Here is a 26,057-nt window from a genome sequence, read left to right on the forward strand (position 1 = left end):
TAAAGCCTGTAAGCTGAACAGCCCTGGAGCCTGCCTTACCTCTGAACATCCACTGGCATGAGCCAATAAATTGCTATATTAAGACCGTTCTAGTTGGATTTTTTTCCTTTTTTTTTTTTTTAGACAGGGTGTCACTCTGTCACCCAGGCTGCAGTGCAGTGGTGTAATCATAGCTCACTGCAGTCTCAAACTCCTGGGCTCAAGCGATCCTCCTCCTTCAGCCTCCTGAGTAGTTTGGACTACAAGAACGTGCCACCACACCTGGTGAATTTTTAAATTTTTCTTTTGTAGAGACGAGGTCGTGCTATGGTCACCCCGGCTAGTTTAGAACTCCTGGTCTCAAGTGATCCTCCCACATCGGCCTCCCAAAGTGCTGGGATTATAGGCATGAGCCACCATGCCCAGCTGTTTCTTTCCTTTTTAAAACATTTTTTATTGAGATACAATTCACATAACATAAAATTAATCACTTTAAAGTTTATACTTCAGTGGCTTTAGTATATTCACTATGCTGTACATGCATCGCCACGGTGTAATTCCAGAACATTTCCATTTCCCCAAGAGAAACCACAAATCTGTTGGCAGTTATTCTCCACTTCTCCCCACCCCATGCCCTAGGTATCCACCAATCTACTTTCTGTCTTCGTGGATTTGCCTGTTCTGGACATTTCATAGAACTGGAATCACACAGCATGTGGGCTTTTGTGTCTGGCATCTTTCTCTCCGTAGATTTTCCTATTCTGGACATTTCATAGAACCGGAATCACACAGCATGTGGGCTTTTGTGTCTGGCGTCTTTCTCTCCATGGATTTGCCTGTTCTGGACATTTCATAGAACCGGAATCACACAGCATGTGGGCTTTTGTGTCTGGCATCTTTCTCTCCGTAGATTTGCCTATTCTGGACATTTCATAAAACTGGAATCACACAGTATGTGGGCTTTTGTGTCGGGCGTCTTTCTCTTAGCACAGTGTTTCCAGGTTCATCCGCGCTGTAGCCTCATTCAACACCTCATTATCTGTGACGCTAAATAATATTCCTTTATTCTGTTTATCCATTTACCTGTTGGTGGTCATTTGTGTTGTTTCCATTTTTGGGCTATTGTGAATAGTGCTGTTATGAACTTTTTTTTTTTTTTTTTTTGAGACAGAGTCTCGCTCTGTTGCCCAGGCTGGAGTGCAACGGCATGATCTTGGCTCACTGCAACCTCTGCCTCCCGGGTTCACGCCATTCTTCTGCATCAGCCTCCTGAGTAGCTGAGATTATAGGCGCCCACCACCATGTCCAGCTAATTTTTTTGTCTTTTTAGTTGAGATGGGGTTTCACCATGTTGGCCAAGCTGGTCTCAAACTCCTGACCTCAAGTGATCTGCCCACCTTGGCCTCCCAAAATGCTGGGATTACAGGCGTGAGCCACCGCACCTGGTCGATTACTATAGTTTTGTAGTAAGTTTTGAAATGGAGAAGTGAGTCTTCTAACATTGTTCTTGTCCAAGACTGCTTTGGTTCTTTCTGTGTCCCTTGCAGTTCCATATGAATTTTAGAATCAGCTTGTCCATTTCTGGAAAAAAAAAAAAAGCTGTTGAAACTTTGATAGGTATTGCATTAAATCTGAAGATCTTAATGTTAAGTTTTCTAGTCCACGAATATAGAATATCTTTCCATTTTCTTTCAACAATGTCTTGTAGATTTTTTATAGCAGCCTTGCACTTTTTAAATTAAATTTATTTCTAAGTATTTCAAGACTATTCTTTTGATGCTGTATTTTCTTAATTTGATTTTCAAATTGTTCATTGCCAGTAGATAGAAATGCAACTGGTTTTGTATATTAATCTTGTATCCTGCAACTTTACTAAACTCACTTATTAGCTCTACCAGTTTTTGTGCAGATTCTTTAGGGTTTTGTTTGGTTTTGTTTTGACAGGGTCTCACTCTGCCACCCAGGCTGGAGTGCAGTGGCATGATCATGGCTCACTGTGGCCTTAATCTTCCAGGCTCAGGTGATCCTCCCACCTCAGTCTCCTGAGTAGCTAGAACTACAGGTGTGTGCCACCATGCCCAGCTAATTTTTTGTAGAGATGGGGTTTTGCCAGGTTGCCTGGGCTGGTCTTGAACTCCTGGGCTCAAGCAATCCACCCACCTCAACCTCCCAAAGTGCTGGTATTAAAGGCATAAGCCACCATGCCCAGTTTCTTTAGGGTATTCTTTATACAAGATCATGTCATCTGCAAATGGAGTTTTACTTCTTTCTCTCCAATCTAGATGGCTTTTTGTTATTTTTTCTTGTCTAGTTGCCCAGCCTAGAATTTCTAGTACAATGTTAAGTAAGTGGCAAGAGTGGCCATCTTTGTCTTGTTCCTAATCTCAGGGGTAAGGCTTTCAGTTTTTTACCATTAAGTATGATATTAGCTGTGGGCTTTTCACAGATTCCCTTTATCAGACTGTGCGAGTTCCCTCCTATTCCTAGTTTAGTGCATGATTTTTATCACTAAAGGGTATCCTGACTTTGTTAAATTTTTTTTTTTTTTTTTTTTTTTTGAGATGGAGTTTCACTCTTGTTGCCCAGGCTGGAGTGTGTGATCTCGGCTCACTGCAACCTCTGCCTCCCCATTTCAAGTGATTCTCCTGCCTCAGCCTCTTGAGTAGCTGGGATTACAGGCACCCGCCACCACGCCCCACTAATTTTTTGTATTTTTAGTAGAGATGGGGTTTCACCATGTTGGTCACGCTGGTCTCAAACTTGTGACCTCGGGTGATCCACCCGCCTTGGCCTCTCAAAGTGCTGGGATTACAGGCATGAACGAACCACCACACCCTGCCTGTTAAAGGTTTTTGTCAAATTCTTTTGTGCCTATTTAGATGACCTTGTGGTTCTGTCCCTTTATTCTATTAATATGATGTATTACATTGATTAGGTTCTGTGTTTTAAACCAACCTTGCATTCCTGGGATAGATCCTACTTGGTCATGGTGTACAATCCTTTAACATGTTGCTGAATTTGGTTTGTTAGTTGTTTGTTAAGGATTTTTGAATCCAAATTTATAAGGGATATTGGTCTGTATTTTTTATTGTGATGTCTTTGTCGGGCTTCACAGCATAAGTCAGTAAGTGTTCCCTCCTCTTCTGTTTTTTGGACACATCTGAGAAGTACTGGTGTTAACCCCTCTTTAAACATTTGGTGGAATTTGCCAGTAAAGCCGTCTGATCCTAGGCTTTTCTTGCTAGAACTTTCTTTCTTTTTTTTTTTAACTAGTAACTCCAAATTCATCAAATTTGGGAAGATTTCAGCCTTTATTTCTTACTAAGAATGAGGCATTTCTCTTGAATGTTTTCCTCATGTTGCTACAAACCTTTTTTTGTTTGCTTGCCCTTTTTTTTTTTTTTTTTTTTTTGAGATAGAGTCTTGCCCTGTTGCCCAGGCTGGAGTGCAGAGGCATGATCTCAGCTCATTGCAACCTCTGCCTCCTGGTTCAAGCGATTCTCCTACCTCAGCTTCCCAAGTAGCTGGGGTTACAGGCATGCACCACCATGCCTGTTTTCTGTTTGTTTGTTTTCTTTGTTTTGTTTTGTTTTTTGTATTTTTAGTAGATACTGGATTTCACTATAAGGCTGGTCTCGAACTCCTGATCTCAAGTAATCCACCCGACTCGGCCTCCCAAAGTGCTGGGATAACAGGCATGAGCCACCATGCCTGGCCTGCTGCAAGCCTTTTAATGTCCAGAGCTATTTTTAAAAAGTTGATTTTTGAGTTTTTTCCCTTTTTTCATTGTTTTTTGTGGAGGGGTGAAATTTGTATTTCTTCATCCTCCATCTTCACTGATGTCCTTCCTTAGCTGGGTTTCTGATAGGGCAGACAAAAATGCCCCAACTCCTAAGACACTTATTTAGTTATAAGGATGATGGTTTTCAAACTTTAGTGAACACAATTAACTAGGGGAGACTATTATAAATACACATTCCTAGGTCCCACCACAAATTCCAATGAGTTTGTCTGCGGCCTGGGAACCTGCATTTTGAAAGCACTGGATTACAAGATCTAAAAGTAATGAACAAATTGAGAGGTTGAGAGGAGGAGAGGTTGTCTAAATATGTTAACTTCACATTGATTTCATACAATAGAGCCAAAAGAAACTACACAGTTGAGAAATCAAGATGTGGGTTGTATGCTTTAGAATTACGAAGGCAACCACTGTAAGAATTAGAAACAAAAATAGTTAAGACAGGCCACCTTCAGGGAATGGAGTTGGAGTAAGACAGGGCAATTTTAAATTTTCTTTATAGTTTGAGCTTTCTTTCTCAAATACAGCTGTTATCTTTATAATAAAACAAACACAAAAATGACAAGAAAATCAGTAAAAGGGGACTATTGGCCAACAATTCTGTCTTCCCTTCCCAGTGCCTCTGCCAGTGTACTCATCCATCCACCAGCAGCTATGGCCCAGGGGCGTGCAGCCTGGCTCCTCAGAATGGCACATGGAGCTGGGCTCCTCCCAGGAGCCACATTCCTTCCCACCTCCCCCCAGAGGCAGGCATGGGCAACTGAATGCAAACAAGATGAAGAGGAAGGACACTGTAAACTAAACAATTGTTAGCTTCCAGACGCAGCCACAACCTGGAGTCACAGAGCCCTCCTGGACTCAGGGCCAAAAGAGACCTACACAAGGTCACATAGTGACCCAGTCCTTCCCAGAACCAGTAGTCTTTGGAGCTTAAAAACATAAGCATAGGCCGGGCAGGATGACTCATGCCTGTAATCCCAGCACTTTGGGAGGCCAAGGCAGGCAGATTGCTTGAGCTCAAGAGTTCGAGACCAGCCTGGGGAACACGGTGACACCCCGTCTCTACTGAAGTACAAAAGAAATTAGCCAGCGTGGCGGCGTGTGCCTGTAGTCCCAGCTACTGGGGAGGCTGAGGCAGGAGAATTGCTTGAGCCAGGGAGGCGGAGGTTGCAGTGAGCCGAGATCGTGCCACTGCACTCCAGCCTGGGTGACAGAGTGAGACTCTGTCTTTAAAAAATAAAATAAAATAAATAAGCATAAATCTAAAACACTTTGCTTGGAAGCTGGCCTCAGGCTTAGCTTATACCATGAATTCATCTGCCAACTGTTTCAGAGGTCTGGGCAGAAGGGCTGCCCAGCAGGAACCAGAGGTCTGGAACAACCAAGTGGGGATGGCTGATTCTGAGGGAGGGATGGGCATGTGACAGTGTGCCCTCTGAACTGTGGGGGAATGTGGCTCCCCCGACCCCTGGGCTCTGGGGGGCTGTTTTCTGGGTGAAGGTGATCCAGACTGTTCAGGCCAAAGCCCCAGTGCCAGAGACTCATTGTCCCTCCCACGGTGGAGATGTTCCTCTCTCAAGGTGTCCTGCATTAGCATGGGACGTTCTCCTCCACTCCACCGTGCCTGGAATCCATGTGGGCAAGGATGAGGAGGGAAGCAGCTGTTAGTGGGAAGTGAGGCTGTGGGACTCCAGCGTTCTGGACAGTCCCAGCCCGAGGTGACACTACTCTGATGTGCTGAGTGGCTGACTTGGTAGGGAGTTAGTGTTTGGAGGTTTTCTCACAATTCCATGAGAATCCAGGGCAGGCCATGATAGTGGGGAAGGCTTTCACATGACGCAGCACTGGAGCTGGACCTGCTGGCTGGGCAAGCTTCAGACACAGGAGGGTGGTGGCATATCCTTTGCTGTAACAGGCAGAAAATATAATGATGTGACATGCCCCACCTGGGCCCATCTTGCCTCTGGCCCTGCAGGCCTTCTGAAACCAGCTCTAGGAGGCCCAGGGAACCCCACAGGCAACACCAGATTTGACCCCACCAAGGAGGCCATGACAGGTCCCAGTCCACAAGATGAACACTATGCTCTTTAAAAAGAACTCCTGTCTTAGTTGGTGTTAGTTCCCAGCCAGTGAAGTCACAATGATGGTAGCAACAGGTACCATCACCTGGCACCTGCTGAGTGCCAGGCATGGTTCCCAGGGATGCACACACACAACGCTACCCCGCAGCCCCAGCCATCCATGTACCCCTGTGGAAAGGAAGGCACAGAGACACATCACGGGACTTGAGAGTGGCAGAGTCAGGATCTAGGCGGGCAGTCAGCTCCAGTGGGGGTTCACAGCCCCTCGCTACTCTGCCGTTACCTTCATCCATGACAATGTGACCAGTCATCTCTGCAGCTGCAGGGGCCAGTAAAGTGCGAGACTCCTAATTCCAGTGCATATTTGCTGAATGAGAGAATGAAAATGTGTACCCACATACCTCAGGTACCTACAACAGACTGTCATTATAACTGCAAGAGACAGAGTGAAATTAATAGACACCGACATGTCCTCAGCAATTCCAACAAAACAAATAGTGACAAGTACCCAAGTTAGTATGACCTACTAGTCTCCAAATCATAGTAACTGGTGGTCAAAATGAAGAGGCAGGACATTCCACAACAGTGTGGACGCACCAAAGGAATGGGCAAAAACACACACCTCCTTCTTCTCAAAAGTATGTGTACTGGTTTTCTATGGCTGACATACAAATTATCATAAATTTAGCAACTTAATACATCCTAGCACTTTGGGAGGCCAAGGTGGGAGGATCACTTGAGCCCAGCAATTCGAGGCTGCAGTGAGCTATGGTCAAGCCACTACACTCTAGTCTGGGCGACAGAGTGAGATGTTGTCTCTAACAACAACAACAAAGCCCAGTTCGGGTGGTAAAGGTGGCATTTCATAGCGATGGGATGGTGCAGGGTGATCCTGGCAGGGCAGGTGATGAGAGTGTGGAGGCAGAGCCTGGGAAACCTCCATGTCAATATGATCACAGAAACAAGGAGCGCTCCATCGCAACTGGGGCAAAGTAGAAAACGCACTGAGGGACTGACCTGATGAAGGTGGAGGGTGCGAAATGCAATCCAAAGTAAAGAAGAGATGAGGGTGCAGAAAATTATGGGCAAGAAACAATGCTCTCAGGTTCTAGATTTGTGGTCTTAATTGAATCACAATTTGGAGAGGCTTATTTTGTTTTTATTTTTTTGAGATAGTCTCGCTCTGTCGCCTTGGCTAGAGTGCAATGGTGCCATCTAAGCTCACTGCTACCTCTGCCTCCCTGGTTCAAGCAATTCTCCTGCCTCAGCCCCCTGAGTAGCTGGGATTACAGGCATGCATCACCACGCCCAGCTAATTTTTGTATTTTTAATAGAGATGGGGTTTTACTATGTTGGCCAGGCTGGTCTTGAACTCCTGACCTCAGATGATCCACCCGCCTTGGCCTCCCAAAGTGCTAGGATTACAGGCATGAACCACTGTGCCTGGCCGGAGAGTCTTAATTTATAAACTTTAAAACTTCAGAACACTAAAAAAAAAAATTAATTAAAAAAAAAAATATATATATCCATTTGGGCCACATGTGGTGGCTCATGCCTGTAATTCCAGCACTTTGGGAGGCCAAGGCAGGAGGGTTGCTTGAGCCCAGGAGTTCGAGACCAGCGGGGGCAACATAGCAAGACCCCATCTCCACCAAAAAAAAATACAAAAATTAGCTGGGCGTGGTGGTGTGCACCTGTGGTCCCAGCTACTCTGGGGGCTGAGGTGGGAAGATCATTTGAGCCTGGGAGGCAGATGTTGCAGTGAGCTGTGATCGCTCAACCTGTCCCCCCCACAACAAAAATTTTGAGAATCTGTCTCAAAAAAAAAAAAAATTTGTTTTGTTGAACCATGGTCTAGAGAATTATTAATAGTAAAGAAAATAGAAGTAAAAACTTATTTTTAATAATTGCTCATTTTTGTTTTCTAAATATAACTCTTTTATTTATTTTATACTATTCATTTATTTATTTTTGAGACAGGGTCTCACTCTGTCACCCAGGCTGGAATGCAGTGGTGGGATCACAGCTCATTGCACCCTTGACCTCCTGGGCTCAATCGATCCTTCTGCCTCAGCCTCCTGAGTGGCTGGGACTACAGGCATATGCCATCACACCCGGCTAATTTTTTTGTTTTGTTTTTTGAGACAGAGTTTTGCTCTTTTTGCCCAGGCTGGAGTGCCATGGCATGATTTCGGCTCACTGCAACCTCCGCCTCCCGGGTTCAAGCCATTCTACTGCCTCAGCCTCCAGAGTAGCTGGGATTACAGGCATGTGCCACCACACCCAGCTAATTTTGTATTTTTAGTAGAGATGGGGTTTCTCCATGTTGGTCAGGCTAGTCTTGAACTCCCAACCTCAGGTGATCCGCCCGCCTCGGCCTCCCAAAGTGCTGGGATTACAGGCGTGAGCCACCACGCCTGGCCAACACCCAGCTAATTAAAAAAGAAAATTTGGGGGATGGGCACGGTGGCTCACGCCTGTAATCCCAGCACTTTGGGAGGCCGAGGCGGGTGGATTACTTGAGGTCAGGAGTTCAGGACCAGCCTGACCAATATGGTGAAACCCCGCTTCTACTAAAAATACAAAAATTCGCTAGGCATGGGGGCACGCACCTGTAGTCCTAGCTACTTGGGAGGCTGAGACAGGAGAACTGCTTGAACTGGGGAGGTGGAGGTTGCAGTGAGCTGAGATCGTGCCACTGCACTCCAGCCTGGGCAACAGGGCGAGCGAGACTGTCTCAAAAAAAAAAAAAATTTTTTTTTTGTACAGATGGAGTCTCACGAGGTTGCCCAGGCTGGTCTCAAACTCCTGGCCACAAGCAATACCTCCCACCTTGGTCTCCCAAAGTGCTGGGATTACAGGCGTGAGCCACCTTGCCCAGCCAAATAAACTCTTCTAAAGATTGTTCCCAGGACAAGTTTAGGGCAAATGTTCCACAAACTACTACATGTAAGCACATGTGTGATTACGACTGAACTTTCACCTGATTTGTGAGGCCCCAAAGTAGCCTCAGAAGGAAAGAGCCAGGCCCCTCAAACTGCGGGGAGGTGAGTATTCCACGCTCACCTGGGCCAGCTCCTCCTCCTGCAGCTCAAGGGCTCAGCCTGGTGGGGTGCTGTTCCCCAGGGCGCTAAGGAGGAGCCAGTTTCTGTCTCACATGGGTTGATGGCCATGCAGCTTGATTTCCTCTCTGAGTCAAAGGAATCTTGTCAGGGCCAGGCCCGCAGCTGCCCTCCTGTCTTGGAAAACTAAGAACTGCACCCCACCCCTGCAAGTCTGTCCATAGCCCCGGCAATGCCACGTGCTGCCTTCCTTTTCTGCATACTGGTCTTGGCCACCTGCCATCACCATGTGGCCCCAGTCACCTTCCATCACCATGTGGCTTCTCCTATGCCCTGGTCCTTGCCCCTGAGGCATTTAAGCACATCTCCACACCCGCTCAACACTGCAGTGCAGCCATTGCTGTGTGCTTCTGATCTCGGTGAGTTCGCATGCTCAAGAAGTCTTTGGCACAGAGTTTACGACCTCAGGCTCTCCAGTTCAATGGGCCTAGGTTCATCCCAGACCTGTTCTATTTACTAGCTAAGTGCAGTTGTCTTAACCTCAGTGAGCTCATCTAGTTATATACAGAATGGTGATGGCAATACCTACCTTATAACATTGGACTGATCCACCCAACAAGCATACCTTGGGCACCTTCCAGTGTTCTCTGTGTGGGGGTACAGCTGAACTGCCACAGGGTGACAAAGGAACTAGAGCTGGGGTTGGGGGTGGGGGCTGCTGGGGCTGGCCCAGGCAGGACCTTCAGTGCCTGGCTAGGAGCCTTGGACTCTGTCCTCAGAGCAGTGGGAACCCACCGGAGGGCTTCCGTTGCAGGGTGGGAAGGGTGATGGGGTATGCCAGACTCATCCAAACAAAGCCACAGTCTTTGGGGAGGGGGCAGCAACTGGAGGCAGGGGGACTGCACAGGCAGCTATTTGCAAGGATTCTGCAGGCAAAAGTAGTGTGGGGGGAAATTGGGGATGAACTTGAAACTTAGGTGATGGGTGGGGATGTAAATTCATTCAACCTTTATGGAAAACACTAGGAAGATTTCTCAAAGAACTGAAAATAGAACTACCATTCGATCTGGCAATCCCGTTGCTGGGTATCTAAAGGAAAAGAAATCATTACGTCAAAAAGACACCTGTATTTGTATGTTTACTGCAGCACTATTCACAATAGCAAAGACAAAGAATCAGCTTGAGTGTCCATGGATGGAAGAATGAAGAAAGAAAACATGGTATATATACACAATGGAATACTATTTGGACATAAAAAAGAATAAAATCATATCTTTTGCAGCAGCATGGATGAAACTGGAGGCCATTATCTTAAGTGAAACAAGCTGGACACAGAAAGACAAATACCACAGGTTCTCACTTGTAAGTGGGAGCTAAATAACATGTACATAAGGACTTAGAGTGTGAAATGATAGACAATGGAGACTTTGAAGGGTGAGGGGTGGGAGAGAGGTGGCTGGTGAGAAGTTACTTAATGGGTACAGATATTTGGGTGTTGGATACCCTAAAAGTCCACACTTCACCAATATACAATCTATGGATGTAACAAAACTGCACCTATACCCCATAAATTCATACAAATAAAAAAGAAATTTAGGTGATAAGAGCTATGGGCCTTGGTTACCAGTTCTGTGCATGTGCATGAGTGTGTGACTTGTGGCATCACACGGTGTCAGGGAGCCGATCGGGGCACTGGGAGAGGTGATAAACTAGAATTTGGAAATGCTGAATTCGAGGTGCCTGTGAGGTAGCAAGTGAGGAAGTCCAGTAGGCAGTGGGCTAGACATCTGGAATTTAGGAGAGATCTTAATGGAAGAAAAAGATTTGGGAATTAGGGTTTTCGGGGGGTAATTGGCAGAGAATTGAGGGAGGAGATGGTGTGGGGTATCTTCTTTTTTTTTTAAATAGAGTCTTGCTCTGTTGCCCAGGCTGGAGTGCAGTGGCACAATCTTGGCTCACTGTAACCTCTGCCTCCCAGGTTCAAGCAATTCTCTGCCTCAGCCTCCTGAGTAGCTGAGATTACAGGCTACTCGGGATTACAGGCCTGGCTAATTTTTTGTATTTTTAGTAGAGATGGAGTTTCGCCATCTTGGCCAGGCTGGTCTTGAACTCCTGACCTCATAATCTACCCGCCTCAGCCTCCCAAAGTGCTGGGATTACAGGCATGAGCCACTGCACCCGGCCCATATCTTAATTTTTTTTTTTTTTTTTTTTGAGACGGAGTCTCACTCTGTCACCCAGGCTGGAGTGCAGTGGCGCGATCTTGGCTCACTGCAAGCTCTGCCTCCTGGTTTCATGCCATTCTCCTGCCTCAGCCTCCCGAGTAGCTGGGACTACAGGCACCCACCACCATGCCTGCCTAATTTTGTGTATTTTTAGTAGAGACTGGGTTTCACCATGTTAGCCAGGATGGTCTTGATCTCCTGACCTTGTGATTCACCCGTCTTGGCCTCCCAAAGTGTTGGGATTACAGGCATGAGCCACTGCGCCCAGCCCCATTTCCATTCTTGTTTCCAAAGGACTGTATCGGCTGTACTATCACCCCTGTAGGGACACTCCCTCAAACACCAAGGACTCCTTGGTATAACAGCTGCACTTTCAGTATCTGCTGATCAAGAAAATATATAATGACAAAAGTGCATTATAAGGTCAGCAATGTAGGTATTATTTTATAATTTTTTTTTTTTTTTAAAGACAGGGTCTTGTCATGTCCAAGCTGATCTCAAACTCCTGGGCTCAAGTGATCTGCCTGCGTTGGCCTCCCAAAGTGCTGGGATTACAGGCATGAGCCACTATGCCAGGCCAAGCTCAGCAATATCTTAAGTGAGTCCGTATTTTATTTTTTAATTTTTTTAAATTTATTTTATTTATTTAATTTTTGAGATGGAGTCTCGCTCTGTCTCCCAGGCTGGAGTGCAGTGGCGCGATCTCGGCTCACTGCAAGCTCCACCTCCTGGGTTCACACCATTCTCCTGCCTCAGCCTCCGGAGTAGCTGGGACTACAGGAGCCCGCCACCACGCCCGGCTAATTTTTTGTATTTTTAGTAGAGACGAGGTTTCACTGTGTTAGCCAGGATGGTCTCGATTTCCTGACCTTGTGATCCGCCTGCCTCGGCCTCCCAAAGTGCTGGGATTATAGGCGTGAGCCACCGCACCCAGCTGAGTCTGTATTTTATTAACTGCAATGGCATCTATATATATTTGGAAAATACAGTACTGTGTCCACATGCTCTGTGGAAGCTCTGTTATACTAATTTAATGATAAATGCAAATTACTGAGCTATCTCATCTCAGGAGGTATAAATTACTTTCTCTAATTGCTACCTTCAATGAATCTCTGTCAAATTTCCCATATTTCCCTTAACAATACTTTGGGCAGATCCCGTAAGTTCCCAAGCAGTTATTCAAAGTCCAGCTAGTTCAATCTCAAATACAGGGTAAGCCTTTGCCCACTCCCATCACCATGTGGGTTTATGGCTTAGGACTCTTTAAGAGAACAGGTGGGATGTGCTGCCTCTGAATTCCCACCACTCTCCTTAGGGTCTCCCTTCTCTGATGTCAGGTCATGGAGAATGAATTAGGGAAAACGGCAAAAGTCTTTCCACGTACAGGGTACACTGGCCGTATTTTTCTCAGGCTAACACTAATTTAATTTTTTTTTAAATTGAGGTATACTTTACTTACAACAAAGTTCACCAATTTTAAGCACACAATTCAATTTTTGACAAATAACTACCACAATTATGATACAAAATATTTTCACTGCCGAGCCCACTTTGTGCTCCATGCAGTCAATCCTTTCCCCCAACACCTAGCCCCTAAGTACTCATCTGCTTTCTCTCACCACAGTGTTGCCTTTCTAGAATTTCACAGTATGCAGCCCTTGGTGTCTGGCTTCTCCTGCTGAGCCTGACAAATGTGAGACTCCTTCTTGCTGTGTGCAGCAGCAGTCTGTTCCTTTATTCTGCCAAGTGTTATTCCACTGTATGGATCTACCTGTTCCACTTTTTGTTTGTTTGTTTGAGACGGAGTCTCGCTCTGTCACCCAGGCTGGAGTACAGTGGTGCAATCTTGGCTCACTGCAACCTCTGTCTCCTCGGTTCAAGCGATTCTCTTGCCTCAGCCTCCTGAGTATCTTGGATTACAGGCATGCACCACCATGCCCGGCTAATTTTTGTATTTTTAGTAGAGACGGGTTTCACCATGTTGGTCAGGCTGGTCTCGAACTCCTGACCTCAGGTGATCTGCCCGCCTTGGCCTCCCAAAGTGCTGGGATTACAGGCATGAGCCACTGTGCCCGGCCTCCACTTTTTGACTATTATTCATAATGCTTCTATGAACATTTTGCTATAGGTAAGTCTTGTGGTGACATGTTTCTATGTCTCTGGGCTAAGTACCTAGCAGTAGGATTGCTGAGCTGAATGGTTAAGCGGTTACAACTTCATGAGAAATTACCAAAATGTTTTCCAAATTGGCCTAATCATTTTGCATTCATTCCTACCTGCTATATGTGAGAATTCTAGTTGCTCCACATCTTCATCAACACTTGCTACTGTTAGTCTTTTTAATTTGGGTCATTCAAGTGGACATGTACTGGTTTAGTGATGTCTCACTGGTGGTTTTGTGTTTCTCTAACAACAGATGATGGCCAAGCATCCTTCAGGTACTTATGTGTCATCTGTATTGTATTTCTTCTTTGGTGAAATATTATTTTGTTTGTAAATCAATCAATCAATCTACCTATCTGTCTATCTATCTATCTATCTACTGAGACAGGGTCTCACTTTGTCACTCAGCTGGAGTGCAGTGGTGCAATCACAGCTCACTGCAACCTTTACCTCCTGGACTCAGGCGACTCTCCCACTTCAGCCTCCTGAGCAGCTGGGACTACAGGCATGCACCACCACACCTGGCTAACTTGTTTTTTTTTTTGTAGAGATGGGGTTTTGCCATGTTACCCAAGCTGGTCTCAAACTCCTGGGCTCAAGCGATCTGCCCACCTCGGCCTCCCAAAATGCTAAGATACTGCATTCAGCCTGTTTGCAATTTTCTTATAGAGCCAAATGAGTTCTTTATGTATTCTGAGTAGAAATACTTTATGAGATATGTGTTTAGATATTCTCCTAGTCTGTAGCTTGTCTTTCATTGTCTAAATGAGGTCTTATTAAAAATTAATTTTCTCTGGGTTTATTGAAGTATAATTTACATTTAATAACACTCACCCTTTTTAGGCAGAGTTCTGCGAATTCTACCACTACAATCAAGATATAGAATTTTCCCATCACCCTCCCAAAATTTCCCTATACCCTCTTCTAGTCAATCCCCTCCCCTCAAATGCAACCCCTGGCAACCAACCACTGGTCTAATAGTGTCTTTTGAAGTGGTCAAAGTTTAAAATTTGATGCAGTATGATTAATCAATTTTTAAAATTATGTGTCTTAGTCTGTTTGTGCTGCTATAACAAAATACCTGAAACTGGATAATTTGTAAACAGCAAATTCATCACTTACAGTTATAGAGGCTGGGAAGTCCAAGATCAAGGCACCTGCAGGTTTGGTGTCCAGTGATGGCTCGCTCTCTGCTTCCAAGATGGTGCCTTGTTGTGTCCTCTTGAGGAAATGAACACTGTGTACTCACGGTGAAAGAGATGGAAAGGCATAAAAGGGCTAGCTGGTTCCTTTGGGCCCTTTTATAAGGGCACTAATCTATTCATGAAGTTGGAGTCCTCATGATCTAATCCCTCCCTAAAGTGTTAAAATCAGGTAACTTAAGTTCTCCAACTAGCTGTTTTTGATCTCTGTGAGGCCAGTCTGTACACTAACCTTTTTTTTTTTTTTTTTTTTTTTTGAGACGGAGTCTCGCTCTGTCACCCAGGCTGGAGTGCAGTGGTGTGATCTCGGCTCACTGCAACCTCTGCCTCCTGGGTTCAAGCAATTCTCCTGCCTCAGCCTCCTGAGTAGATGGGATTACAGGCAAGTGCCACCACGCCTGGCTAATTTTTGTATTTTTAGTAGAGACGGGGTTCTACCATGTTGGTCAGGCTGGTCTCGAACTCCTGACCTCGTAATCTGCCCGCCTTGGCCTCCTGAAGTGTTGGGATTACAGGCATGAGCCACCGCGCCCAGCCCCACTGACCTTCTTTCATGGGGAGTTCATGTAAGTTTTTCCAAAGGCTCTGCAGGGTATCTTCAGTATAGAGTGTTCTGATATGGGAAACGAGCTCTAGCTCAACCTCCTTCACTCCCAACTCCAACTAGCTTTGCCATCAGTGTTACTCCCTATTGCTGTTTGCTCCACAGCCTCTTGCCTAGTGGATGTGGTCTGGCATTGGACAGCACAAGCAATGACAGGGAAGCCCCCTGAAGACCCTTGCCCAGAGGTCTCTGAGTTTTCTAGATTTCTTCAAAGCCAGGTATAAAGGCAGTCTAGCAAGCTCACACTGTCCAAGCAGACATCCAATCAGGGAAGATGCCAGCCTCTCTTTTTTAGGCATCTGAAGTCATTATGGTAACTCTCTTTGAGCTACACCCTGTTGGCTTTAGTAATAGCACCGCACCCTCCCTATTTCTGCACCCAGGAAGCTGCTTAGGGAAACTCTTACCCTTCCTCCCGCCCCATCCCTCCCCCGTTGTCCAGTTATGTAAGCCTGAGGGTAGGGTGGTGGTGGTTCAGAATGGCAGGGCTGGCTCTTCAGCCCTCTAACAATAAGCTCTGGGTGCTGCCATGTTGTGCTGCCTTTACAGTGTGGGATACTGAATGCCTCTGGGTACTCACCTTTGTGCCCTGACTCACTAATTCCAGGGTAACAGGAAAAGGCTCATTAAACGTCCCGTTACACACAGCTCTAATAAAAACAGCAATAATAACATCAAAACACTCACATAGTGCTTGCCAGGCACCAGTCTCTTTCTCTACTTATGTTAACTCATTTCCTCTTCACAACAACCCACCCCATTAAGCAGGATCAGTAACCCCTTTGCACAGCTGAGGAAACTGAGACATAGAGGAGGTAAACTGCCCAAGGTCACAGGGACAGAGAGCCAGAGAGCTGCAATCCAATCGAGGGAGTTTGGCTGGAGTCCACGCTGCGCTGCTTTCCACATAGGAGAGGCAGAGAAAAGCTGCACCTGCAAGAGCGATGGTTTCGGCTGCGTATTTGGAATAACGAAGTCAGCGGTCAGGAGCAAGGAGAAGGCACACATCTCGGGCCTCATTTCTGTCCCCGAGCGCTCCCCCACACTGCGAGATCATGGCGGTGGAGGGGAGTCCCGCATCCTGACCCCCGGCCGCCGCGCACTGGGGGGCCCTCAACCTCTGGGTTACTTGGGGGCACGCAGTAGCCACCCACGGGGCAGAAAAGACGGGGGCGGTCAACTTTCTCCACTCCAGCCGCCTGGGGTCCCGCCATCCCTCAGCCAGGACGCTTGGCAGCCGCCTCTAGGCTAGGTGGCCACGAGTTGCGTGCGAGAGCGAGGGCTGCGCATGTGCGAGGCGTGCGTGGTGCGTGTGTGGCGCCGCGGGCTTCCGCTCCGACGTGGGGATCACTAGACAGCAACTGCCCCCCAAGTTCTCGTATCAGCTGCGGGAAGGAGAGAATGGTTCTAGTCAACCGAGAGTGGAAGGAGACCAAATTTCAGCAAATGCACGGACTTGAGTCCTCATGAGCAGGGTGGCCATGGTGCGGAAGCAGCTGGCACGGCCCCCTCAACCCCGGACCCCTGGGGTCCTCACTGCCGACCCGCGCATTCAGTGCTGCGCATAAATAAGATTTCCAATTAGAAGGCCTAGGTCCCAGCTCTGCCCCACAGCGTGGCTTTGGGCCAGGCACGTCATAGCCCTGGAACTCTTTCTTCCCATTGTTGAGATGAAGAGGGTGCACGATATGTTCGACGCAGCAAGGTTAAATGGAAGGAAACGGGGCGGCCGCTTAATGACTGGTTGCACGCGCTTGCGTTGGGTGCTGCAGCCTGGTGCCAGGAAGGTGGGGCAGGGACCTTGTGGTGTAAGGAGTGGCGGTGAAAGTGCCTGGGGTCAGAGAGGAGAGGCAGGGGATGAGTTCTGAGTGGGAGGAGGGGGCAGCTCAGGTTTCGTCAAGTAGATGACCTCTGAACCAGAACTTGAAGGATAAGACGGGAGATGGCCGAGACGAGAGATGGCCCTAGGAGCATCCTGGCACAGCAGGTGCCTGAAAGCCTGCATAGGGCATAGATGTGTCTAGAGAGTTCTGGGAATGATCGCTAGAGCGGTGTTGGGCTCGTAGGGAGGCAAGAGGTGGGCTTGGAGCGGGAGGTGGGAAAGGCATGGGGAGTGTCTTGAAAGCCCCCTTCATCTGCAGGTCCTGAAACGCTGCAGAGGGTCTTTAGGCGTGGAATTTACATAAGATGTGTGTTTCAGTAAAGTGACTTACAGGAACCAGACAGGAATTGTAATTATACAAAGGGGATTTCGGAGGAAGGAAGTTAGTCTCAGTCCAGGGAATAATGAGGGCCTGAGCTCAGGAGTGCAGTGGGGAGGGAGAAAGAAGGATTCCAGAGAGATTTTGGGCAGAGTAATTGACAGGCTCCCGATTAGAGCAGAAACTAAGATGATGCCTAGGTTTGGAAAACTGGGTGAATTGAATCATTAAGACACTGAAGTGTCCACCAAGTGCAGACCTTGTGCCAGGCACTCAGCATCCAAAGATCAAAAAAGACCTAGTCTCTGCCCTCAGGTGCTTCTACTTGAATAGGGCAGGTGGACACATAACTAGGTAATTGTATCTATACCCTGTGATGTTGAGGATTACAGCTGTCCCTGCCTGACCTGGACCTAGGGGTGAGGGCAGGGGGGCTTCCTAGAGAAGTGGGACCTGAGCTTGGCAGAAATGGGAGTTCACAGGCAGTGTGAGATGGGTCCCCTAGGTACAGTAGGAACGCAAGCAGGAAGGCCAGGGAGTTTGTGATGTGTTTGGAGAACTAGAAGCAGATGCTGGAGTGTAAAACCGGAGCTTGACTTTTATTCTCTAGAGGGTGGGGAGCCATTGCAGAGCCTTAGGCAGAGAAGGGCCTGGTCAGATTTGGGTTTAGGGCAGCTTGCCCTGGTGCCTCGTGGAGAACGGTTGTAAAGGCGAGAAGCTAGGAGCGAGAGGTGGCTGTAGGAAGTGCTGGTGAAAGAGAGTGGAAGCTGGAGCTGACACAGGGAGTTCAGGAAGGAGAGTGGGCTGGGGGATGGTGGGGTGGGGAAGTGCAGGATGAGGAGGGAGGGCTGAGGTGAGGTCAGTGCTGCACACCAGGTGCATGAGGCCTGGGGAGCATCTCCATGGAGGTACCTAATGGCAATTTACTAGCCAAGTCATCTTGACCAGTTCACTTAGCCTTGGCGATTTGCCTCATATTGCAGAATGTGGATGACAAGACCTACCTCATAATGTTGGAGTGATTCACTCAACGAGTATTTACTGAGTATCTGTTGGTGTTCTGGGTGCCAGGGATTCAGCTGGATGGCCTCAGCAGAAAATACACAGGAAATATGGGTTGAGCTAAAAATCAAGGGCCCAATTAGAACAGATTTGACTATCATCCATATTAACACTCCCAGAAAAGAGGGAGATGAGCAGAGAGAGAGAGAGAGAGACTTTTCCAGTTGCAAGGCAAGAGTAGGCTGCAGGGTCACCTTGTGCTGGCTGGCAGGAGCCAGGGGCTGGCATGTATCCTGTTTGGCCAAACCATCATTAAGTGGCAGTTCGAGAATAGGCCCTCTAAGCTCTTGCACTGGTGTCATAACATCTGGGGATTTCCTGTGTGTCAGTGTTTGTGTGGATAGAGGGAGCTGGTGGTAAGTGTTCAGCCAGGTGCATCCAAGATCCCAGGGTCTCATGGGAGGACCCAGGGCTGGAACTGGCCTCCTCATACCGCTGTACAGCTCTGCCTGGAGCCTGGAGCCTCCTCCTCTGCTGAGTGGTGCTCTCAGCACAAAATGAGTGTTATCAAAGGGGCATATATTCTGCACTCACTAGCTGCACAAGAGAAGAACAGCGGTTGTTGGTATGCCTTATAACTACTCTTCAGAATACACACCCCTTTGACAACATTCACTTTGTTCTCAACCATAAACAACCACACCCCTTGTTTATGGTTGAGAAGATGAAGGCCTGGTGGAATTAGCTTCTTGCCAGAGACTACACTGTGGCCAGAAGGACTCTGCCTTTTCCTTGGCTATCTGAGCTTCATCTCAGAGGTGTTTAATTGCTCCAGCCAGATCCATGTGAATAGCAAATTAAGCCCACACAGTGGCTCATGCCTGTAATCCCAGCACTTTGGGAGGCCGAGGTAGGCGGATCACTTGAGGTCAGGAGTTTGAGACTAGCCTGGCCAATATATGAAACCCTGTCTCTACTAAAAACACAAAAAAATTAGCCAGGTGTGGTGGCACACGCCAGTAGTCCCAGCTACTGAAGCGGAAGCTACATCGAGTTGAGATCGTGCCACTGCACTCCAGCCTAGGTCACAGAGCGAGACTCCATCTTAATAAATAAATAGCAAATTAATGTTTTAAGTGAAGTAACAATAACGGTTTACTCTGATTTAATTTACAAATAAACATGGAGTTTTTGTTTATAAATTTTCACCAAATTTAAAATCTTCAAAGGCTAATTAAAATAGTTAATATTTATTGAGTGCTTCATATGTATTTTCTCATTTGATTTTCACAACATCCCCATGAGTTAGATATGATTATCATTGCCATTTTACTGAAAGTAAGGTTGGAGCAAGGTGGAGTAGGATGGAGTAAGGATGAGGTTAAGGGTGGAGTAAGGTTGGTATACGGTGGCTAAAGTTGGGGTAAGGTAAAATAAGGTTAGGGTAAGGTGGGATAAGGTTGAGGTAAGGCGGAGTAAGGTTGGGGTAAGGTGGGCTAAGATGAAGTAAGGTTTGGCAAAGTTGGGGTAAGGTTGGAGTAAGATGAGTAAGGGGGTAAGGTTGGAGTAAGCTTGGGGTAAAGTGGGGGTAAGCTTGGGGTAAGGTTGGAGTAAGGTTGGGGTAAAGTTGGAGTAAGGATGGGGTAAGGTGGGGTAAGGCTGGGATAAGATAGAGCAAGGTTGGGGTAAAGTGGGGTAATGTGGGGTAAGGCTGGGATAAGATAGAGAAAGGTTGGGGTAAAGTTGGAGTAAGGATGGGGTAAGGTGGGGTAAGGCTGGGATAAGATAGAGCAAGGTTGGGGTAAAGTGGGGTAAGCTTGGGGTAAGGTTGGAGTAAGGTTGGGGTAAAGTTGGAGTAAGGATGGGGTAAGGTGGGGTAAGGCTGGGATAAGATAGAGCAAGGTTGGGGTAAAGTGGGGTAATGTGGGGTAAGGCTGGGATAAGATAGAGAAAGGTTGGGGTAAAGTTGGAGTAAGGATGGGGTAAGGTGGGGTAAGGCTGGGATAAGATAGAGCAAGGTTGGGGTAAAGTGGGGTAAGGTGGGATAATGCTGGGATAAGATAGAACAAGGTTGGGGTAAAGTGGGGTAAGGTTGGGGTAGGGTGGCCTACAGTTGGAGTAAGGTGAGGTAAAGTTAGGGTAAGGCTGGGGTAAGGTGGAGGGTAACTTTTCAGATGTGATACTGTTTTTGCACGCCTTATCTTTCCCTTCTTGCTGCTCAGTTAGGAGCAGCTTTTCTCCTCAATTTAACTGAAGTGAGCATTTGCTGGAGAAGTTGAGGGAACACGCACATTGTGCAGCCCTGTTTGTCTGAGCTGAGGCTTGTGTTTGTCCTAGGAAGGGCCATTTGGGAGCTGTTTGAGATGGCATCTCACAGCGAGCAGAGGAGGGCACAGTCAGGGTGGTGATTGGGGTGAAAACTCTGCTCATGAAGAATGATTTGGTATGTGCACAGATGATAGCTTTTCTAAATCCTATTTTGTTTTTCTGAAAAATAAGTGACAGTAACCTGAACACCTTTGAGTTTCTCCAATGCTGGCTTAGTCTGAGGCTGGGGCCTGCCTGCCATCCCTTTCCCTCTCTCACTGAGTGGCTGCTGCTTGCCCGTCTCTGACCTTTGAGAGTCTCAGGTCTGATGGTGGTGGAGATGGAGCACAGGTGACTGATTCGGGGGACTCGGAGACACACCCCTTGGAGGAGGGACAGGGAGGGTTGGAGGTAGCTGGTTTCATGTGGGCAGAACACAGGACATAGACATCCTCTGTCAACGTTGGTCTTCTCTGTAGTATTTTGTGCAGGGTCCTGGTCAGTAAATCTGGCCAAGTGAGTCATCTGAAAGCAGTCATGTGATCTGTGTTGATAAGTGGATAAAGCATTGGCTTTCATCACTCTCTGGATTTGTTAGTGAACTTTAAAAAAGAAACCTTTCTTGTGCTTTTAAATAATGACTGTGTTTTTTAATCTTACCATTTAAATCTAGTTTTCCTGAAGATGCCTGTGTGCCTTTGGCCAACAGGATCTTTGTCCGAGGTGACAATGAAGATAGTATACCATGAGCCCATACTGCCTGCAGAGTCGTGGCTGCCAAAATTAACAGCTGTGGAATTATTTGTGACCCTGTTAAGGATAAACATATTTGTCCCTTTTCATTTTATGATCAGCAACTGCTAAAGTTCTTACTTGTAATTGCAATTTACTGCCCTCACTGTATTGCTTAGTTTAGAGGTGGACACAGAAAGAATGGAACATTTGTTTTCTTTTGGGTCTGAGCTATGAATTTGGGCCGCATTATCATGCAGGCCTTGGCCCCTCTGTCTCTGCAAGATTGGGCTTTCCTGTTTTTGTCATTCTCAGCTTACTTCGCAGGCATGCTTTGTGTAGAGGAGAAAAATACCCTCCAAAGAACCTCCCAAGGAGGTTACCAGGTACACGGTTCAGCCAAGTGGGTGACTCAATGGGATGCATCTCTTTGTGTTTGTCAGGGCCGGGAAGGGTGTGACAGCATGTGGGGAGAGACTCAGTTCCCAGCCAAATAACTTTACCACCTGAGCTATGAGGCAGTTCCTGCACATCACCACTCCAGCAGGGTCCAGCCTTGCTGCGGCAGAAAGCGAGTGTGTGGGAAAGCAAATGGCTCCACACGACGCTTGCAGTGTTCAGAGGGATGAGTATGAATTGTGTGTATCTCAGGGACCCCTTTGACCCATGAATACATGTATAGAGTATTCTCTATTATGTGGGTGAAGTGTATCTACTTACATACTTAAGTATTTGTGAGTAAAACGAGAAAAAAAAAAGATGTGAAGGATGGATAGAGAAAATAAAACAGCAGGAGGCTGGTAGTTCCTGAGGCTGGATGCTGGGCACATGGGCATCCATTCTACTCTTCTCTCTATACTTCTGTGTATATTTGAACATTTTCAAAATAAGAGGTTTTATTTTGTTTTTTGATTTTTTTTTTAGATGGAGTCTCACTCTGTCGCCAGGCTGGAGTGCAGTGGTATGATATAGGCTTACTGCAACCTCCGCCTGCTGGGTTCAAGCAATTCTCCTGCCTCAGCCTCCCAAGTAGCTGGGACTACAGGTGCGTGCCATCATGCCCAACTAATTTTTTTTGTATTTTTAGTAGAGACGGGGTGTCACCGTGTTGGCCAGGATGGTCTCCATCTCTTGACCTTGTGATCCACCCGCCTTGGCCTCCCAAAGTGCTGGGATTACAGGCGTGAGCCACCGCACCTGGCCTTTTCTCTTTCTTTCTTTTTTTTTGAGATGGAGTCTCACTCTGTAGCCCAAGCTGGAGTGCAGTGGTGCGATCTTGGCTCACTGCAACCTCTGCCTGTGGGGCTCAAGCGATTTTCGTGCCTCAGCCTCCTGAGTAGCTGGGACTACAGGTATGCGCCACCACACCCAGCTAATTTTTTGTATTTTAGTAGAGATGGGGTATCACCATGTTGCCCAGGGTGGTCTCGAACTCCTGAGCTCAGGCAATCCACCTGCCTTGGCCTCCCAAAGTGCTGGGATTATAGGTGTGAGCCACTGTGCCCAGACAGAATCAAAGGATTCTTTTTTTAAGTATGTACAGTATTTGTCTTAGTCTATTGTGCTGCTGTAACAAGATACTTGAGACAGGGTAGTTTATAAACAACAGATATTTATTTCTTACAGTTCTGGAGGCTGGGAAGTCTGAGACCAAGGCACCAGCATTCAGTGTCTGGTGAGGGCCTTCTTGCTGTGTCCCCATGGGGCAGAAGGCAGAAGGGCAGAAGGGCAGAAGGCAGAAGGGCAAAACCTGCCTCGCTGGTTCCTTCAAGCCGTTTTACAAGGTCACTGATCCTGTTTATCAGGGCTCCCCCTGCAGAACTTAATCACCTCCTAAAGGCCTTGTATCTTAATGCTGTCACATTGGCAGTTAAGTTTCAACACATGAATTTTGGGGGCATCCAGGCCATGACAGTTTTCAAACATTTTTCTGCATATGTAGGACCCATCAAACGCTGTACTCCTGCTCTGGTGCACACACTGAGCTGGGCATCTGGGTTCAACAATGCTTCACTTTCCTGGCACGCAGAGCTGAGGGGCAGGGACAGAGATGAAATCTCTGAGGCACAGTGATGGTATCATGGAAACCTTGAACTGAGGGGAGGGTCGGAGTTGGTTTCACTGAGGAATCGAGGACTGAGCTGAGAACCGAAGGATGACTGGGAACCTCCTGGGTGCTGTGGGACTGGGACTGGGGGCGAGGGAGAGGGAGTCTCAGATGGTGGGAATCCCCTGTGTAGTGGCCCTGGGGCCTGATGGTGGCCAGAGGATGGAGCCCAGAGGGAGGGGAGGATGGTGAGGCAGGGGTGGAAGGTAAGGGGTGTTCCAGGCCCGGTTAGGGGATTGGCCTTGGTATTCGTGCCATGGACAGCCATTGAGGCGTCTAAGCAGGGAGTAGCCACAGATCAGGCTCCTGTTTTCCAGCCACCGTTTATTTGTGGCTTGGAGGATGGATGGCACAGGCAGGCACTGGCATCCAGGTGAGAGATGACAGCTCCCCAGACTGAGGCTGTTGGGGGTGTGTGGTGGCAGGAGTGGGAGCAGAGGTGTGTTTGAGAGAGATGGAGGATGTAGTGGCGGTCTAGGCATGGGTCATGGGGAGGAGGGGTGAGCATAAACGGTGATGGAGCCATTGCAGAGATAGAACGCCAGAACAGGACCTGATGTGGAAGGGAAGACCAAGCCTTGTGTCTGACTTGGGTGGATCTGGAGGGAGATTTTGCAAAGCAACTTGGTCATGTAGACTTGGGGCTCAGAGGAGGCCCCTGGGAAATGAGTCTGAGGGACTCCTCCGCATGCAGACACTACTGAGAGTGTGGAGGAGTTGCTTAGGGAGAGGTATGAGCCAAGGGACCACATGAGGTGGCTCCAGCAGACTGTTGAGCCCCAGCTCGGGTCTTTTTAAAATTAAACAAGCCACACTTAGGTGTGCTTGTTGTAAAGATGTGAAGCCATAGCTACTATATACAGATGCAGACACTTGCAGACACTTTTCTAGACAGCACAGCTACACGTATGTACATATGCATATATATTATTTTCCGTTTTATGTAAATGGGATCATACCATCATCCCAGCAACTCATTTTTTTGAAGGTTTGTTTTCTGATTATAAATGTCATGCAAAGGTATAATGGGAGTCCTCTCCTAAAATCCCATTCTCCAGAGATAACATCATTGTTAACATAGTCCTTAAACGTTTTCTTCTATACCTATATAGTATTTTATTATATGGATGAATCATTATTTATAATTATTCCTCTGTGGAAGAACATTTAGGTGCCTGTAAGTTTTCTTCTGTTAAAATATAGCCCTACAGTGAACATTCTTGAGTGTGTGTATTCACTTGTGTGCATTTGTGAGTAGTTTTGCAGGCTGGGCTCCTCCAAGTGGAATTGCTAGGCTAAAGGGCATGTACCTTTTAGAGGTTTTTGTTTGTTTGTTTGTTTGTTTGTTTTTTGAGATGGAGTCTTGCTGTGTCACCCAAGCTGGAGTGCAGTGGCGCGATCTCAGCTCACTGCAACCTCCGCCTCCCGAGTTCAAACAATTCTCCTGCCTCAGCCTCCCAAGTAGCTGGGATTACAGGCATGCGCCAACAAGCCCAGGTGATTTTGTAGTTTTAGTAGAGACAGGGTTTCACCATGTTGGTCAGGCTGGTCTTGAACTCCTCCTGACCTGTAGTGACCCACCCGCCTTGGCCTCCCAAAATGTTGGGATTACAGGCATGAGCCACCACGCCTGCCCAACCTTTTAGAGTTTTAACAGATGTTGCTCCGTGGCCTGAGAATGCCTGTTTCCCCACACTTTCTCCAGCACTAGATTTAACCTAATCTGTTGGGTGAAAAAGGTTGTCTTATTGATGCCTTAATTTACATTCTATCCATGACTTGCAACTTTAAGCATCTTTTAAAATGTTTATTGGTTACAGGCAATCTTCATGAGAACATTGTATCCTCTGTCTGTTTTTCTTTTGGGTTTCCTTTATTTTTCCTTAATGGAGTTGAAACAGTTCTTTGCAGGATCTGGCAGTTGATTGACAGCTTCTTAATTCTAAGAATGCCCCCAACTTAAAAGCAGCCCTGGAGGGTCCCCTTCTTCCGTGTCACCCCCAGTGTCTTGTGTGAGTTGTCACCGGGCCCCACTTGTTTTCCTCTGAAGCATTCTGACAGCTCTGCTCGTGGCCCCTGCGTTTAAGAGACATGCTGGGCCGGGCGCAGTGGCTCACGCCTGTAATCCCAGCACTCTGGGAGGCCGAGATGGGTGGATCACGAGGTCAGGAGATCGAGACCATCCTGCCTAGCATGGTGAAACCCCATCTCTACTAAAAATACAAAAAATTGGCCGGGCATGGTGGCAGGCGCCTGTAGTCCCAGCTCGGGAGGCTGAGGCAGGAGAATGGTGTGAACCTGGGAGATGGAGGTTGCAGTGAGCCGAGACTGCGCCACTGCACTCCAGCCTGGGTGACAGAGAGAGACTCCGTCTCAAAAAAAAAAAAAAAGAGACATGCTGCAGGCCAGGCATGGTGGCTCATGCCTGTAGTCCCAACACTTTGGGAGGCCAAGGCGGGCGGATCACTTGAAGTCGGGAGTTTGAGACCACCCTGGCAAACATGGGGAAACCCCGTCCCTACCAAAAATACAAAACAGCTGGGCGTGGTGCCTGTAATCCCAGTTAACTCGGTAGGCTGAGGCAGGAGAATTG

General features: G+C 47.3%; 1 long non-coding RNA gene across 1 annotated transcript, besides 4 other annotated features; it reads right to left on the reverse strand.

The window, feature by feature from the left end:
• Window positions 4,211-4,913: an enhancer, noted in NCBI's record as "H3K27ac-H3K4me1 hESC enhancer chr22:19542168-19542870 (GRCh37/hg19 assembly coordinates)". NCBI's record gives its function as "activates a minimal SCP1, AML or CMV promoter by ChIP-STARR-seq in naive H9 embryonic stem cells {active_cell/tissue: H9 hESC(naive)}" and the evidence as "EXISTENCE:reporter gene assay evidence [ECO:0000049][PMID:30033119]".
• Window positions 4,332-4,626: a silencer, noted in NCBI's record as "tiled region #325; HepG2 Repressive non-DNase unmatched - State 12:CtcfO, and K562 Repressive non-DNase unmatched - State 25:Art". NCBI's record gives its function as "represses a minimal TATA promoter and a strong SV40 promoter by Sharpr-MPRA in HepG2 and K562 cells {active_cell/tissue: HepG2 | K562}" and the evidence as "EXISTENCE:reporter gene assay evidence [ECO:0000049][PMID:27701403]".
• Window positions 4,914-5,616: an enhancer, noted in NCBI's record as "H3K27ac-H3K4me1 hESC enhancer chr22:19542871-19543573 (GRCh37/hg19 assembly coordinates)". NCBI's record gives its function as "activates a minimal SCP1, AML or CMV promoter by ChIP-STARR-seq in naive H9 embryonic stem cells {active_cell/tissue: H9 hESC(naive)}" and the evidence as "EXISTENCE:reporter gene assay evidence [ECO:0000049][PMID:30033119]".
• LINC00895 (long intergenic non-protein coding RNA 895) lies at window positions 15,696-16,405 on the reverse strand. The gene has a single exon (NR_024381.1). It is a non-coding gene; the product is annotated as a long intergenic non-protein coding RNA 895 (long non-coding RNA).
• Window positions 17,004-17,339: a silencer, noted in NCBI's record as "fragment chr22:19554961-19555296 (GRCh37/hg19 assembly coordinates)". NCBI's record gives its function as "represses an EF-1alpha promoter that drives an FKBP-Casp9 reporter gene in an ReSE screen in HepG2 liver carcinoma cells {active_cell/tissue: HepG2}" and the evidence as "EXISTENCE:reporter gene assay evidence [ECO:0000049][PMID:32094911]".

This window comes from Homo sapiens, chromosome 22 (genome assembly GCF_000001405.40).
Source record: "Homo sapiens chromosome 22, GRCh38.p14 Primary Assembly".
NCBI lineage: Eukaryota > Metazoa > Chordata > Mammalia > Primates > Hominidae > Homo > Homo sapiens.